General features: G+C 33.8%; 2 protein-coding genes across 5 annotated transcripts in view, besides 2 other annotated features; one reads left to right on the forward strand and one right to left on the reverse strand.

The window, feature by feature from the left end:
• Positions 1 to 18,301, forward strand: part of NT5DC1 (5'-nucleotidase domain containing 1) — a 148,645-nt gene that overhangs the window by 36,856 nt on the left and 93,488 nt on the right. The gene's annotated exons all lie outside the window — the stretch shown is intronic.
• COL10A1 (collagen type X alpha 1 chain) overlaps positions 1 to 18,301 on the reverse strand; it is a 98,236-nt gene that overhangs the window by 18,800 nt on the left and 61,135 nt on the right. The gene's annotated exons all lie outside the window — the stretch shown is intronic.
• Positions 8,220 to 8,389: an enhancer, noted in NCBI's record as "experimental_88113 CRE fragment used in MPRA reporter constructs". NCBI's record gives its function as "activates a minimal promoter by MPRAs in K562 erythroleukemia cells, with activity observed for both the introgressed and non-introgressed 6:116467176 variant alleles {active_cell/tissue: K562}" and the evidence as "EXISTENCE:reporter gene assay evidence [ECO:0000049][PMID:34662402]".
• Positions 14,925 to 15,125: a silencer, noted in NCBI's record as "peak6050 fragment used in MPRA reporter construct". NCBI's record gives its function as "represses an SCP1 promoter by STARR-seq MPRAs in K562 erythroleukemia cells {active_cell/tissue: K562}" and the evidence as "EXISTENCE:reporter gene assay evidence [ECO:0000049][PMID:32103011]".

Genomic DNA, 18,301 nt, shown 5'->3' on the forward strand with positions numbered 1-18,301 from the left:
TATAAAATGCATGTGTGCAATACGTACCTGTTTATATGGAAAACCAGTTATCTTTTAGAGTTGTGAGAATCTATTAGAAAATGCCCAGCTTGGCCGGACGCACTGGCTTATGCCTGTAATCCCAGCATTTTGGGAGGCCGAGGCAGACGAATCACAAGGTCAAGAGTTCGAGACCAGCCTGACCAACATGGTGAAACCCCATCTCTACCAAAAATACAAAATTAGCCAGGCGTGGTGGTGTGTGTCTGTAATCCAAGCTACACAGGAGGCTTGGCAGGAGAATCGCTTGAACTTGGGAGGCAGAGGTTGCAGTGAGCCAAGATCACACCACTGCACTCCCGCCTGGGTGACAGAGTGAGACTCTGCTCAAAAAAAAAGAAAAGAAAGAAAATGTCCAGCTCAATAGCTGACATTTTAAGATCTTATGTGCTAGATCTAATTCTAACAACTTTGCATATATTATTTCATTTACTTGTCATAGCAGCCCCGTGAAGTAGGTACTATTATTATTCTCATCTTTAGAGATAAAGAATTTGAGGCCTAGAGGTTAAGCATCCTAGCCAAGATCACCATGGTAAAGCGACTGTTTTCTGTGGATATATTTCTTTAGGATTTATGAGAAACAGTATAATTCCAAGAATAGCACTACTTAACTAGGAACTACTGTGTTGGCTATTCCTTGTTAAGATTTGTGTGAAAGTGTAATCCCACTACGTCTGCTTTCCAAACCATCTCAAATTGGTGAACACTGTTTTTAATTCTTTACAATTGAAAGAGCTATGTTGTTTCAGTTCTAAAATGGGCTAGTTCAGAATTTGCTAATTAAAAACGAAGCTAATTGAAAAGCAAATAGTGCGAATGTCGATATATTTGTTTTTATTTCGAAGAAGTGTCAAACATGCTTATTTTTTAGGACATCATGGCTTGTTATAATGATTAAAAGGCAGAATAGTATGACTAAAAACTTCTCAATATTTTGGGAGACTTTTGAATTATTACTAATATATGAATCCTTACTAATGGGGTACATGTAGAACTTCATTTTGTAGTATTTATATTTGTATAGAATTGTATATTTAGCATGAGTTAAATATGGCAGGGGAATGCTCTTGATTACAACTATGATATTGAGAGAGTAAGAATAGATAGTGAATATTTTTTCAGTCTTGCTTTTGGTTTGATTTCCCCATAAATCTTGATTTCTCACATTGGTAAGTGTTAGTTTATAATTGCATTATTAGTTTTGTGACCAGTAGGATTTGTATAATTGCAGCAGAGTAGAACTTTTTCAGATTAATTTAGTAAATGATATTTTGATCATACATGATTTAGAAAATGACTGATAAAATAGTGCAACTACAAAAAAAGATGTATTCTTATGATTTATAGCACAACTATTAAAAATACAGAAAAAAGGATAAAGAGTTATTTGGCAAAAATTCTAGTAGAAGAATATTGGGGGAAAATGTTAAGAGTTTTGGAGCCCATGGGAAGTAACTGACCTTATCAAAGTGTGGATTTTTTGGGGGAAAGAAGTCTCTCAGTCTACTAGTAACAATTTGTGGGTAATTAACTTAAAGAATAAATTCTGTGTTATTTGGTACAAATGATGATTAAACTCTTGTGTAGAATTTGGATAATACAATTATTATATTTTGAATAATACAGTCTAAAGCTGACTCCAAAGCAATATTGAGAACAATTGTATTTGAAATCCACCTATTTGTATACTTTTTTTAACTTTCAGTGTCGATACCACAAAATTCTTGTACATTTTAATACACATTGTATACTACAGTGTAATGATATTGAACTGCATTTAAAATGCATTTTACTTGCAGTGTTAATAAGTGTATTGGAATATTAAAAAACATTTTATAAGACAGTAAAGAGCCCTTCCAGTTTTTAAAATTTGGTTGTTTTACTTTATGGCACTTTACGATCTAGTTTTTTGATTTGCAAATTACACATGTGGGTCATGTTATGAGCTATGGTTCTTTAGATCTTTCTTGTCATGGGAGTAAGGAGAGAAATAGGAATTTGACAGTTTTTTGCTTAAAAGGCATTATAAATATTAATATTAAGACATCTTCAATGTGAGGGCCATTTGTATAAAAGTTGTGTCTTTGAGACCTAGTACAGCACTTGAGTCTTCTGTCCCTCATTTTAAAAATAACATTCTATGATTCTCATGATAGTTAGGTCTGATTCAACTTTGTGTTCAGATTGGACTTGTGTTTATTGAGAGTCTTCCATGTGTCAGGTGTTTTGCTTTTCTTATTTGATCCAGAAGAGACTTACGTGATAGATATTACCACTGTTATTTTGTAAGGAAACTGAAGCCCAAGGTGTTGAGGAATTCCACAGGTTCATAAAGCCAGTAGGTGGCAGAGCGGAGAGTTGAATGCCGCCCTCCTATGGACACCAATTTCAAAGGCTACTTTGGCATTTTTCCACCAGTGCATGCTCTCAGGTATTTTCAAGTATTCCTCTTCTGTTTAATTTCCTTTCATTGTTACCTAAAGCCATCAACTTATGCTTATGTTCCATCCCTTACAAACTAGCTGAAATGCCGTGGTAGCAGTTACACATCACTTAGCTAATATACTTTCTCAGAGTGGGAGCACCACCTTTGCTCTTCTGGGCACATCACACCTCTCTTTTCTGCCTTACATTCCTGGTTTCCACAATTTTCAAGAACAGGTACCCATTTTTTTCAATATTTAAAATTGGGAAAACTTGGATATGTGTATAGTATATATCATTCTTTTATGCTAAAGGTGAGGGATATTAATTCAATGAACACATGTATGTGTATCTGCTACCCAGCAAAAGAAACTTAACATTAGCATTCTTTTTGAAACCCCTATGCCATCTCCCTGATGGCATTCCCTGTGTTTCCTCATGTAGTTAATTATGCTGAGTCTTATTCCCTCTGTCCTTCTAGAAAGTATACCACTCCACATCCCATCCACAATAATGTTTTTCTTGCATGTTTTTAAATTATATATTTAAAAGGAATTACACTGTATGTATCTGCTTCTGCAACTTACTTTTTTGATGTAACATTGTGTTTTTGAGATTTGTCCATACTGATGTGTGGGGCTGTTTATTCATTTTTCACTGCTCTGTAGTTTACAATGGTGTGAGTTTATCAGAATTTTTTTATCTGTGATGGATATTTAGCTATCCAAAATAATACTGCTCTGAAACTTCTTGTACATGTTTCCTGGCTGCATGCAAAAGAATCTTTCTAGGAAGTATACCTAGGAGTGGTATATTAACTATGTATATTTTTCTGCTTCACTGGCTAATTCCAAATTATTTTCTAAATTGTTTCATGTTTTTACCAGCAGGGTATAAGGGTACACCCACTTGGTGTCATTTAAACTTCAAGGTTTGCCAACCAGTGGTTGTAAAATGCTGTCTCATTTTATTGTATTTGTATGATACTGATTCGAATGATGGTGAGCATTATTTTTATATGTTGATTGGCCATTTGTGTTTACTCCTCTCTCAAATACCTGATTGTACCTTTGCCTACTTTTTATCAGATTTTTTTTTTTTGGTGGTGGTGGTTTTTTTAGTATTCTTACATATTTTTGATATTTATTTTCGTTAGTTATATGTGTTGCAGATACTTCCAGTTTGTGACATGTTCACTCTCTCTAGGGCATCTTATGTGTTATCTGCAGTTAACTTCTATCTAAGAAAGACTCCATTGTTCAAAATAATTCATTGAGATTCAATAAATTACTTACATTGTTCTTTTCCCAACTTTCCAGTGGGACTCCAAGTCATTGTATATTCAAGAAAAAACGTGGCACCCTTGTGAATGATGGTAGAGAATGTTTCATTAATTTTTTTTGATGACCTTCCTTTTTCTAATGGAATTAGTTGACCATTCTTTTAATAGAATTTCTGATTCTAGGTTTACTTGCAAAGGTTCTGTGTAAATCATTAACAGAAGTTTATATTCAACATTTGAATTCAAGAAAAAGTTACTTTGCTTCTTATGTGATAATAACTAGTGCCACATTTTCTTCTTTTGTTTTTTTTTTTTGTTTTGGTTTCCAGCAGGAGAATGTTTCCAGTTGAGGATTATGATAAGCATTTAATTACTGAAAATCCTTACATAGAGTCTTATTTCAGTAAAAGATTTTCTGCCAAAAAGAAAACACACACACACACACACACACACACACACACACACACACACTGTAAATGTGAGATGTTCCTAGTCTAGAAAATATATAGGAATTCCTGTTTCAGGAAAATTTTGACAAAGTTACTTAGATGAAAACTCAAAAAAAAGATTTGTTACTTCTGAGTTTCATTTAATAGCTGATTTGTACATGGTAACAAATGGAATTGATATTAGGATCCTATTCCTTTGATATTTACAAAACTACTTTTTTGTAGGAACTAAATGGATACTCTTTCTAATATATGAAACTAATATTAGTATAGTTCACAGTTGTTCCATTTTATTTTTCAGAAGTTGTGGGACCAAATTTAGTAATTTAATTGTAAAAGACAAAACACCATAAACTATTTGATTAAATTCTATTTTTGCTTTTTTTTTCAATTTATTTGGCATATACTTAGGAAAATGTAGTAGAGATTTCAAGTTGTAAAAAAAAATTAATAACATAAAAACCACATAAACTTGAAAGCACCTCTTTCAGGTTTCATTTTTTACATTTAATTATTTTATATATCATCAATGCTAGTTCTACTCTTAAACTCATGTTTCACTCCTAAAACATGTTAAATGAATTTATAAACTTACTTCTGATTATTTGGTTGAAATTTGTTAGCATCTGAAAATAAACATATACAGGAAAATAAGGTACTTAATTTACAGTGTGTGGTAAAAACTGTGTTTTTTCCTTAGAGTCAGGAATGTCTTCAGCGAGCTGGGCATCTTGATAGAATGATAGCTTAAAGCAGTCGATGGCAGTGGCTGAGATAAGCAGGAAGCAGTGAAATATATTAATAGTGTTCTTCCAACCTTGAAAAATAGAATTTGGGACTGCTTTTCTTGTTTCTTTTTGTTTCTTGTGAACTGTCTGGCTCAGACTGAAGATGTAAGGTTCTGTATTTATCAGTTCTAAAAGTTATTTTCGTGTTCTGATGCCTTCATTACATCTGTCCCAGTTGCTTCACATATATGTCAGTCTGAATACATGGAAATCAAACAAATTCCAAAGCAAAATCCAAAAATCTGGATTAACTATTCTCTGTGTTTCATGGTGGGAAAATTTGATGGATAAAATTATAGACATTATGGTTTGTGTCTTATTTGGAAGAAGACTATGGTTCTGTCCTTTTGCTCTTACTAGGAAATTCCTGGAGACCGGATTTTGTTATTTTGAATAATATTTAGAAATAATATTAAAATGCCTGATAAATTTGCCTCTGGCATAGATAAACACTAAAGGAATTTTTAGAAACATAGATAATATTAAAAGAGATAGTACTACATTTTCTCACCTCTTTTGTTTTTGTTTTTATTTTTGAGACAGAGTCTTGCTCTGTCGCCAGACTGGAGTGCAGTGGCGCGATTTTGGCTCATTGCAACCTCCAACTCCCAGGTTCAAGCAATTCTCCTGCCTCAACCTCTCAAGTAGCTGGGATTATAGGCATGCATCACCATACCCAGCTAATTTTTTTTGTATCTTTAGTAGAGACGGTGTTTCACCATGTTGGCCAGGATGGTCTTGATCTCTTAACCTTGTGATCTGCCCTCCTGGGCCTCCCAAATTGCTGGGATTACAGGCTTGAGCCACTGTGCCCGGCCTTTCCCACCTCTTTAATTGTTTTTGTTCAGGTTGAATTTGTTCTACTACTTAAAACTTTTTTTAATCCTATGAAAATTTCCAAGTCACACTGTCCTTGTTAGCTATAGTTAAGGAATGAGAGTGTGCCATTTTTTATTGCTGTTAATTTAATATTTTGTTGCATTACTTTTTTGTTTTGCATTTTGGGTGTTTGATATATAATTTTAAAGATAAGTGATTGTTTTATGGATAAGCCTAGGAAGTAAGTTATTCAGTCAACAAAATTAGCTATAGTAATTCATTTTATTATAATCAAATCAAGAAAAATTAGGACTGTCATTTATTGCAACATTGTCAAGTTTGTAGTAGTGTTTGGTTGTGTTGTGTTTTCTCTGTTAGATTTTAATCTGTAACAATTACCAAAATATTTGTAATGCTTTATAATAAAGAACTGATGTGAGTAGAATGTCTTAAACCTTTTTATAACTTGAGAAAAAACTTAGAAAGATTAGGAGCTTTATCATTATGATTTTTCACACACATTGCCAAATAAATACAATCATTTTTATATTTTTATAATGAGGATATTCAGAGTTCATGTATTGGTGGTGTCGGGTATTCTGCAGTCAGATATTTGGATATTCTGGGGATTTATGTAATTGGAATCCTTTTTATAACAGACAGTATGAAAACAAACATATTCTTCTTACAACATTAAAGTGTAAAAGGAGGCCAGGCACAGTGGCTCACGCCTGTATCCCAGCACTTTGGGAGGCCGAGGCGGGCGGATCATGAAGTCAGGAGATCAAGACCATCCTGGCCAACATGGTGAAACCCTGTCTCTACTAAAATACAAAAAATTAGCTGGGCGTGATGGTGCACGCCTGTAGTCCCAGCTACTTGGGAGACTGAGGCAGGGGAATCTCTTGAACCCAGGAGGCAGAGGTTGCAGTGAGCTGATGTTGTGCCACTGCACTCCAGCCTGATGACAGAGCGAGACTCCGTCTCAAAAAAAAAAAAAAGTGTAAAAGGAGAACACCAACTTTCATGAGTTTCTCCTGGTTTTCTATATTACTTTAAATATATGACTCTAAGTTTAGAATTCAAATATTTGGGTGTATTTAAATTAACCTTGATTTTTAATGAGTTAGTAAACGGACTCTTAGATTTTATTTGTAATCCACACCAGACTTTGGGACAACTGTTTGTTAGACTTCACACCAGTAACATGTTCCCTAAGGGGAGTGGGTGGGATAGCAGGAAGTAAACCAGGAGTGGTGAGCCAATGGTATTTGTCCCTGACAACTGTGAGTTAGTTCACCACATCCCAGCCACAAATATGCATGATAGGAGAATGAGAGCTCTGTTTGGCACATAGTTCAAAAACAGACGTTTTCAAACAGGGGATCTTAGGCTGATGGCGTTGAAAGTTACTGGATTTGTTCTAAAATGTGCTAGTTGCCAGCAGTGAAGAAGTGATCTGAGGGAAAAGGGTTCAATTAGAGAATGTATTATGTACCAATTATAGATTTGATTCGTACATCAGATTGATACATGAGAAATGGAATGCCTTTTAAATCTAATATATCAGCAAAGTTATAGGACATAAGAACTTCTGGTTTCTGTCTTGAAGCATTATAATAGATTGAAAGCTTCTTTAAACTCTCCTCCTCACTCTGCAGTGAGAAGTTGGACAGTTGTCCTCAACAGAGGACAACTGATAACAGCTAACTATTAAATGTCCCCAAAAGAATTTGTTTAGAAAGGTGTGATATGATAAAAAGAATGGGCAACAGTGTTTCCCTTATCATACGTTTTGTCAGAGCATAAGATCTGAGTTCAGTAACTCTATGAAATGCTAAAAAAAAATCAACATTAAATTGATGGTAAGAAGAAATGCTGATTTTCAAAATGCAAAACTTTTTCTGTTCTTTATTATCTCTTAGTAAGAAGATTGGCCACATCCTTGCTTCAGGATATATCTACAAGTTTCATACTTATTTAAGAGATTAAAGTGGGTCCTGTATTATTTCATTAGAACTCCTGTCCTGCTATTGTCATCTTATGGATTATTCTTGAGATTGTTTTCCCTTCACCTCTTACCTAATATTTGTTTTTTTACTAATGTTACATAATCTACTCTTAACATTTTAGAGTTTTCTTTAAAGTATCCCCAGTGATCTGAAAATCAAATTTGTATCTTCCATCCTATAAAATAAAAAATAGTTTGTTTCATTTTTTGAATTTATTTTTCATTTCCAGATACTTACCAATTCATTTTTTATTTAGTTTTTAATTTACTATTTTATTTTTAGCAGTAATATAGCTCAAAATTGTGAACTAATGAAACCAAATTTTTGATACTTTCTGAACTTGTTTTAACATTTATGTGATGGTATTTGAGAGCAGCAAACACCTGTTTTGTCTTTGGTAACTCTTTCAATTTGGTATGCAGTCTAGTGTTTGTACAGAGCACTGTGCCAGGCAGAAATCTTTCCTTACTTACTTCTGGAAAGCACCACAGAAGTAAAAGGATGTCCTCCTCGTTTTCCTATCACAGTTAACATATGCACGGTTACCAGCCATGTGTCCCACAGCCTGACTTGTTGATTATGGTTACAGTTAATACTAATGAAAAAAAACTTTCATGCTTTGTGTGGTGGGTGTGGTGGGCAGTTTGAGGCAGGAAGAGTCCCTGGGGATATGATAAAGGAATATAGATAACCTGAGATTTAAGTCCATTGTGTGGTTAAAAGGGAATCAAGCAAATCAAAAGTTATCTAGGCTTCAGAACAAAGGTGGCTATGTACTTTTTGAGTAGGTGGCGTCAACCTGTGATTTTTAGACAGCTTGCTAAATAGACTTTATCATACTCTGACCTCCCAACTTCAGATAAAAGGGGTAAGAAGGAATTTCTCAGAAGCTCCATGACAATAAGTAAATAACTGGAGTTGCTTTACTCAAAATGGGGGAAAGAAATCCCTTTGGATTAAAGCCAGAGAAATTCTTAGCTGGCCACTTGGAACTTTCGCCTTAACAAAAGAAAGTATGTGCCAGGGGGAAGAGAAGGTTAAATAAATTATTGTTAAATGAATTAAATAGGAATAAATCTAGGGAAAATACTTACTTTATCTGTATCTTACAGTTTCCTATAGTTATGTTATAACTTATGTTTCTTAAACTTAAGTATGCTATAAATCTTTTTGATCTACATTGTTTAAGTGTCATGGTATTCAAACTGAATAGAAAGTTCAGAAATAGACCCAAAAAGACTGGGAAATTTAATGTATGAAAAAGATAGCATTTCAGATCAGTGGAAGACAGATTATTCAATAAGTGGTGTTTGGCCTATGGATAGCCATCTGAAAAAATACAGTTGTGCCCTACCTCACACCTAATACCTAAATAAATTCCACAGAGATCAAAGGTCTATGGATTAAAAAATAAATTATAAAACTACCAGTAGAAAAGGTAGGGGAATATTTTATATATGTATAAAATAATATAAAATATATATATATATTTTTAATCATGTAGTCAGAAAGCCTTTGAAGTACGACCTCAAACCCAGAACTATAAAAGAAAAGATGTATGAATCTGACAATATTAAAAAAAAACTGCATATAAAGAAAAATACAAGTAAAGTTAAAGATAAATGACAAACTGGGACCAGGCATGGTGGCTCACACCTGTAATCCTAGCACTTTGGGAGGCCACGGTGGGCAGATCACCTTGAGGTCAGGTGTTTGAGATCAGCCTGGCCAACATGGTGAAATCCCGACTCTACTAAAAATACAAAAAGTAGCTGGGCGTGGTGGCATCTACCTGTAATCCCAGCTACCTGGGAGTCTGAGGCAGGGAAATTGCTTGAACCCGGGAGGCAGAGGTTGCAGTGAACTGAGATCCTGCCATTGCACTCCAACCTGGGCAACAGAGCGAGACTACATCTCAAAAAAGAAAAAAAAAATAAAAAGATAAATGACAAACTGGGAGAAAAATTTCCAACTCATGTAATGGAGCTATAGTCCTAATATATAAGAAGTTATAAAAAGTTCATTTTAAAAAGTATTTAAAGCAAAACAATAACCCAGTTGAATAATGGATAAAGAATTATAAATGGCCTTAAACCTATGCAAAGATTTAGTTTTATTTGTAATGAGAAATTGCAAATAGAAACTGTTACAAGACTTTATATAAACTTTAAAAATGTTAAATGCACATTCACCCAAGAATTATATCTCTAAGAATTTATATTACAGATACGGTTGCATGTGTGCAAATGATGTATATACAGGGTTATTGATTATACCATTGTTTGTAATAGCAGAAGAAGGAACTGCTCAAATATTCATTCATAAGAACTAGCTACATTAGCAGTCATTAAAAAGGTGGAGGCAGGCATGGGAATCGCTTGAACCTGGGAGGCGGAGGTTGCAGGGAGCTGAGATCGCGCCACTGCACTCCAGCCTGGCGACAGAGCGAGACTCTGTCTCAAAAAAAAAAAAGGTGGGGGGGGTTGGAGGCACCTTGTTGTGGACTATGAAAAGACATCCAGAATATATTTAGTAGAAAAAGAAGTGTATAGAATAGAGTAGATGGTATACAGCATTTGTGTAAGATACATAATTGATATGTATGTAACACAGAATATCTCATATTCCTTGTATAAGGATAGACAAACTAGTAATAGTGCTTGCATCTTGAGAGGCAAATTGAGTAAGTTGGGGACAGGGGTGGGAGGGAGAATTATTTTTCATTGTATGCCAGCCTTTACATTTTGAATGTTGTACCAAGCATTATCTATTCCAAAACACATCATATTTTTAAAAATCCTTACAAAAAGACAAAAAGCAAAATAGAAAATATTGTAGCATTTGTTTTCATTGCAATTTACCATACATGCCATCCAAAGATTGTCTACTTTTTGGAACATTTGAATACAGTGATAGACAACTGTGATCCTAAAATTACAGTTAATTTATATTCCTTTGCTGGTACTACCCAATCTTGCAGTGCCTTAGGATCGTCACTGTGGATGTTGATTTTCATTGTACTCAGAATGTGAACATGTTAATTAATAGAAGTATTACTATGATAACAGTTTATTATATGTATTTTTTTAGAACATCAGGTTTTTTTTGGTTAAGAAATGACTAAAGTTGGATGGTTTATATAACAACGTCATTAATAATTAAAATGGTTTTTTGAGAAATTTTTTGTCTTTCTCTATGAGAGATAAGTAATTGAGCAAAATACTGTTTATTATTCAGATATATGTGAGTGTACTGACTTTTTAAACCCATATTTTGAGTGGGTTACAGGTAAGTCATTTCTATAAGTCAAAAGTAAAGCATAACAGGGAAAATAAGGGTCTAGCCAAAGAAACGTTTTTAAAATACATGTATTACATGATACCAATTTATAAGTTACAGCTTATTCCAAGAAGCCAGTCTTTTGTTTTTAATCTCTAGAAATATACTAAACATTTAAGTGATGAGAATTGACAATTCTTTGTAGACTTTCCTTGATGTTTGGATTTTTAGCCCATTCCATGTGTTTTTTAAATTTTCTTTCTTTACAATAAGACAGGTGCATAATTCATGGATAAATTCAAGTGGACAGTAAGTCAACAAAGTTCTCAGAATATATTTTGCCTGGCAGGACATTTTGGAGTAATTATACATTTGGTACAGAATTTGAAGGTGTGGATGATATTATTAGCTGTTTGACACAATTTAAGTTACTAGGTGACTTCCAGAATTTTAAATTAAGAATTTTTAAAATAATAGCTTAAGTATATGTTTTCATCACTGCAAAATTTCAGAATATTATAAGCTATTTCTGTATACTAACTTATTCTTCCAGTACGTATGACAGGAAATCAAATAGACAGTGTGTCTTTACCAAACTGGCTCTGCATTTTTAGGATTATGATTTTCTAAATTATTTCCCTGCCAGTACTAAGAGAACACTAACCTATTCAAAGGCTACTTTAGTAGGATAAGTAACTTGAGTCTGAGACAGAGCTTTCAAAACAGAATGGTATTTGAATAGTGAAGTACATAATGCTTTTAACAAAGGTGAACCAAAGGATGACTGTCGAAAGGGTATCTAGACTTTATTGGAGAAATTGTTTTTCCAAAAAAGCCCAAATGCCTGGTGGAGACACTGAATTAAAAAGGCAATATTTGAACTTAGTGTTGATGCACCAAATCAGTTTAGAGATTGGGGTAGAACTTTTGAATCTGGGATCTCCACATAAAATAAGTGGTGAAAGAGTTATGAAATCAGACAGCTTGAAGATTCAAATAGAAATCTTTTTAATGAGTCTCCCTTCTTTAGAGGTGAGGAAATTGAGATAAGGAATTTGATTTGCACAACAAACCAGCATTAGGACTTAACGGCTTTTTATCTAAAGCATAGTGTTCCCCCACTCACAGGTAGGTAAGGTTGAAAGTGTTGCTACATTGGTGTACCTTTATTCCCTATGATGTCTCCCTTTGACATCTGCCCCCCAAAGTACTGTTGAGGAGCTGAGAGAAGGCTTGTGGGCCATAAGTGTTGAAGTTTAGAGAATAGGAGTTAGATCATGTTGTTTTCTAGTCCCTGATAAAAAGTCGAGTCTTTGACAAGGGCAATGAGAGGCCAAGTCTTGAAGGAATTTTTACAGAAGAGTGACCAATTAGATGTATGTTTTTAAAACATTACTATGGCTTTCACATGGAGAGCATGCTGAGGGAGCCCATGGCCACTGACAGATCAGTTAAGAAAATGGTTTTTTTTTTATTTTAACTTTTTAATTATTATTTTTTCAGACAAAGTCTTGCTCTGTCACCCAGGAAGGAATGCAGTGGCATGTCTTGGCTCACTGCAACCTCCACCTCCCAGGTTCAAGCAATTCTCCTGCCTCAACCTCCCAAGTAGCTGGGGCTACAGGTGCCCGCCACCACACCCAACTAATTTTTCTATTTTTAATAGAGACAGGGTTTTACCATGTTGGCCAGGCTGGTCTCGAATGTGTGACCTCAAGTGATCCACCTGCCTCGGCCTCCCAAAACGCTGGGATTACAGGCGTGAGTCACTGCACCTGGCCTTGAAAATGGGGTTTTAAATTAGAATGGGGCAGTGGAAATAGAAGTCCCTGGACAAGAGTGAGTTTTAGGTACTTTACCTAACTTTCAGAGATTGGAGCATTAGTCTAGCAGTATTTTTGTAAGCTAGTTTTTATTTGATGTTGTTTGCTATTATTGCTGTCTGTCATATAAGGTCGTAATCTAATAAAATATCTGAAGGTAAGGAAGCTGGAGAACCTTGGAGTCTTATATATCTAGTGAATATCAAATGTGAATTTGAGAATGTCACATCAAATTTTGTGTAATAAATACATTGTTCATATTTAACCATTACATAGGTTGATTTTAGGTACTATGATTGACATTTAAATTTTATAAGTAAAACATGGCAGATTGTATATTTTATGATTTTTTGACAGGTGAGTGAATAAGATGACATTAACAACTCTTTGTGGCATTTAAAATGTTATCTCATTGATAGAAATCTTGACATCTCTGAGTTTTTATTTTTTTGTGAATTTGCTCAGGGATTAGAATTTGCAGCTCCTAATTGCAATTTGTATCATCTGCTCAGCCTTCTTTTTGCTTCCGGGCAGCTATCTAGCCCATATTCCTGCCAACTTCAGTGCCTGCACCATCACTTATAAAATCCCATCTTCCAAACCCCCACATTTTAAAGACTCTGAGATCAGAATATGTGGGCCTGTGATGAGCATATCAGCCATCTTTGATAACATTCATACATGCAAGTGCATTTTTACTCCACATATTTTTCTTAACTAATTTTTTCTCAAAATTGTACAGGAAGAAAGATTCTTTATGTTTTCAACTCATATTGTTTTTGGTTTATACCCTCTAAGTGATTGTATAGTTAAAGGGCATTTATAGAGTAAAATTTTATCTATCCATTTATTTATTTACTTGAAATACATTGAGCACTTACATGCTGCTCCTTGTTTAAATTCGTTAATATAAGACTATTAAGTAATGTATATATGTGGCCTGTTGGTATGCTTTTAAAATTCACAGAGTTATCTCGAGAATGCAGTACATGCAAATAATGGCAAATGTGATATTGGATTTAGGGTTACATTTATAGATAATATGTTAGAAACCATAATTTTATATTTCTCTTTCCCACTTATAATGGGAATTAAGTATGTTCATTTTAGCTTTTCTATAATAAATACCAGCTTAGTCTACCACAGCAAATAAACTTTTTTTAAAAAAGCAGCAACAACAAAATACTTCACTGTACTCTTTTCTTGGTTTATTGAGATATTAATAAACTGATAGTTTTGTCTCATCAAATATTCTTTTGTTCTGAAACACTGATGCATTTATTTTGGCTTCTGAAGTTTTATAAGAACATGTTATTTGGGGAGTATTGATGCCAACTTTATTGAAAACACTTATTTTACTAAGCTAATGACTAAGCTAATTGACTAAGATGCAGGATTATAGTAACCTGGTTGATTTCACTACATTCTTCCTTACAAAGCAGAAGGTGAAATGGAAATTTTGGAGGAGGTGGAGTGAGATTTGTATGTCACAATCTATTTTCACAGGATGCAGTGCCTTCGTTTTCATTATACTTTCAGTATGGTTGACTTCTTAAACTAGTTTGAAGATTTAGAATTTGAAATGAGAATATATGATTAGAAAATACAGGAGCTGTGCATTTAATTTTTTTCATTTAATAATGATTAAGGTTTTAACACCTTAAAGGTGCACACAACAGTTGATTCTTCAACTTATCGTACCATTTAACTCCCATTCCTTTCTTTCTGGCCTCTGCTTTTCACCGTGAGGTAGATTCCCTTGCCTCTTGTTTCAAAAATAAGAAAAAAAAATTAGAAAACAACTTTTGAACTCCTGTGTCCTCTAGCTTTAAACTCATCTATTATGGTGATTATCTACCCCACCGTGCCAGAGAATGAGGCACGATGGGGTCTCCAGGGCAGTCTGACTCCTGTGTACTGGATTTATTCCCCTCTATCTCACATGGGACTTTCATCCTCTGTGCTTTCTTTACCAGGTCTTTATTTAACCCCTTAACATAATGAAGACTTTGAATGCTATAAAACAAAAAGAGAACCCTTCTTCAGCCCTACTGTATCTTCTCTTCTTTTTTCCTCCATCTTTTTACAGCCATACTTCTTGGTTAGAATGTTCCATACTTAGGTTTCCTTTTACAACTCTAATATAGTTCTTGGCACCATTCCATTTTTCTTGATAAGGTCAACCAGAAACTCCAAATTGCTAAATCCAGTTATTTATTTTCTATAGTTATATTGCCTCTGAGTTCTTGATTGTGCTCTATGATGTCGCCAGAGAAAAGGAAAAGTAAATTTAAATAACCTATAATCCTCCTCCATACTGCTGTCTTATTTTTATAGTATAATAAAATACAGAGGAATGATTGCTTTATACTTTACCACTAAATGGCTGAACTACATTGTTTTTTGAAAAGAAGTAAAATCTTAATCACTTGAGGTAGGCTAATATATAACATTTAATAAAATCCCTGATATATTAATATAAAAATATATACACAAATATATGTATATACATACATATTCACACATACTACAAATATACAACATAATTTTTGAGTAGGGTTATTAGAATTAAGAATTTTTTTAAATCATAAAACTTATAACCTTGTCTGATTTTAGCTCTATTTATAAGATATGTTATATAAGACACATAAAAGATCAGAGTATTTTCACATCATGTTCTTACACAGACTGCCCATAAACATCAGCTCTAAAAGTTTTTCACAAACATCTTGAGGGTGAATTTAGCTCGATTTTAGATCTAATATCTGTTGTCAGATGATACATTCAGTTATCTTTAAGCATAGTGTTTTATAGAGTCTCTATTCCACTGGAGTTCAAAATAATAGAAGATAATATGCCATTTATTCATTTAATTTTTAGTTATAAACATTTTCTAATTTTTAAGTCTCCTTGAGTCGAGGATTGGTCATAAGTACCTCTGTTAGGTACTTAGTTAGGCTTCAGGAATATAGTTACCTCTATTAGGTACCTAGTTAGGCTTCAGAAATAGAAAAGTTGCATATAAAATTGCTATTGTTGTCAAAAACAGTCAAATATTGGCAGTTTCACTGGCAACAGACAGTTGGAGTTCAGTCTAGTAACTTTCTTACTGGTTTAGTCATATTCATTTTTATGTTTTATGCAATGATATGAATAGTCTTGTGGGACTAAGTTTTGATAAACTGAGTATTGTTTCCTTACCTTCTCTGTGGATTTTATTGAAGATACATGTACAGAAATGCAATTTGGCAAAATAAGCATCAAAAGGAAAAGTAAATCTTACTACGTGCCAAAAGATTTTTCAAGTACCATTGCAGTGTAAAGCTGTATGTATTGCATTTGGAAAATGCATGGTTCATCTTTGAAAATAGAATGTACAATACATGCCTAAAGGGAAGATTTCTTTTTTTTTTTTTTTTTTGAGACAGAGTCTGGTGATGGGCTAATTGAAGTGATTGACCAAAGAGATGTTAAAACATGGCTCTCAAATCAGCATTGATTTGTAGTGTACTTTTTCCCCCTCAGAATAGCAATAAGAGTCTATTGATTTTACTTTTGGCTATTTAATTGTAGTGTAAACACTTAATTAAAATGTGTGAAATTTAAAAATAGTTGATAAATATATTCAATATTTTAACAAAACATCAACATAGCTGGAGTAGGTTTCGTCTAGCTTAAAAGATGTTGTCACTGAGGCCGGGATTTCTTTCTGTTCCTGTATCCTAACACCGTCCATGGTCACCCAGTTTCCCCTCAGAAGGAGACATTGTTATTACTTGTTTTCTTACCTGGCCCCTGACAACAGATTCACCCAAACACATTATACTCCTTGCTACAGGTGATAATGTTCCTGCTCTGTGATTTTTATGTTAACCTTAATTTAAGTCTTCCAACAAATGCTGATGAAAAAAAAATACACAAAACTTTGTATTTGCTTTTTTAAAAAATGCTAGAACAGTGAGGTGGTGTTTAAAACAGTTTGAAAGTACACAGTTCATGGTGTTTATTTGGTAAACTTACAGATTAATTTAATTATGAAAGGGAGAGGTTCTCCCTGAGAAATATTTGGATGGTTTTGATGATGGAATTAAATAATTTCTCATTCATTCTATTTTATTTCACTCATCAAACTAAAAACAAAGCACCGTTTGATTTGTTTACGCCTCAGGATTAATAACTCTTAGCAGAGGCATCTTGTTACTTTCTTTGACTTGCCTATGATGCCTTGTAGGTAAGCAAAAATAATGAATTGTTTTAATATCATTTTTCTTCATAAGATAAAAATAAAAAACATCATTTAGGAGTTTAAAAAACAAACCATAAATAACCATATACAACCACATTGTTCTTTCTGTTTAACTTTTACTCCCTGTGCTGGTTTGAAATGAGGCTGGTATAACAGAATAGAACTTTGGTTTGACAGGGAGTATACAGACTTTAATATTAGGCTGGTGCAAAAGTAATTGCGGTTTTTGCCATTACTTTCAATGGCAAAGTATGTGGTTGAGTATGATATGGCCTTGAAGTATTTCTACATTTGGATTAGTTAAGGTTACAAGTAGTTTGCATGGGTTTAGTGCTTATAAGCATTGTTAGACAACTGTCGTGATGGTTACATGTTATATAGTTTCCTAATGTCTCCAGACTGCTCCAGATATCTGGGATAATCTGAGAAAAATAATAATCTTTCTTATTATTAATGACCAATTCATTTAGCACTTTATAGTAGTGGTTTTTATTTTTTGGTTTTTGTCACTCGCCAACACAAACATCTCTTTTGGAATTCAGTGGCCACTTTCTGGGTGCTCTAGAGGACCATTGTGAATTAACATGGCCTAAAATCGTATTTTAAGAATATCATGTAATACGTACTGAATCCAGTTTAAGAAGTTTGACTAAAGCAAACAATCTAAACAATTTAAAATGACTTTGAATCCATCCAAAATCACATGTGTATTTACCTATCAGTATTCTGCAGGTCAATGAAATTACATATGAGTGAGGTTACTCCATTACAACATAGGTTGTAAAAGCAAAAGATTAGAAGCAAGGCTGGTATCCATCTAAAGGGCACTGGGTGAATAAACAACACTGCATCTACACAAAGAAATAATGTACTTCTCCTTAAAAAAAAAAAAAAAAAAAAGAGGGAGGAAGTTGTGTGTGTACTGAAATGGAAACATTTCCAGGGTATATGTTTTTTAAAGAGCAGATACAGAGCTTATACATTTTATGCTATCTTTTATATAAATGGAAGTGGAGGTAGTGTTTATACAAAAAAACAATGGGAGAATTTACAAGAGACAAATGTATTCAGTTACCTAAAGGCTTTAGGGTTGGGAATGGGCTAGAAAAAAATTACATTGACTTGAATCAAGTTCAA

Source organism: Homo sapiens, chromosome 6, assembly GCF_000001405.40.
Source record: "Homo sapiens chromosome 6, GRCh38.p14 Primary Assembly".
Classification (NCBI taxonomy): Eukaryota; Metazoa; Chordata; class Mammalia; order Primates; family Hominidae; genus Homo; species Homo sapiens.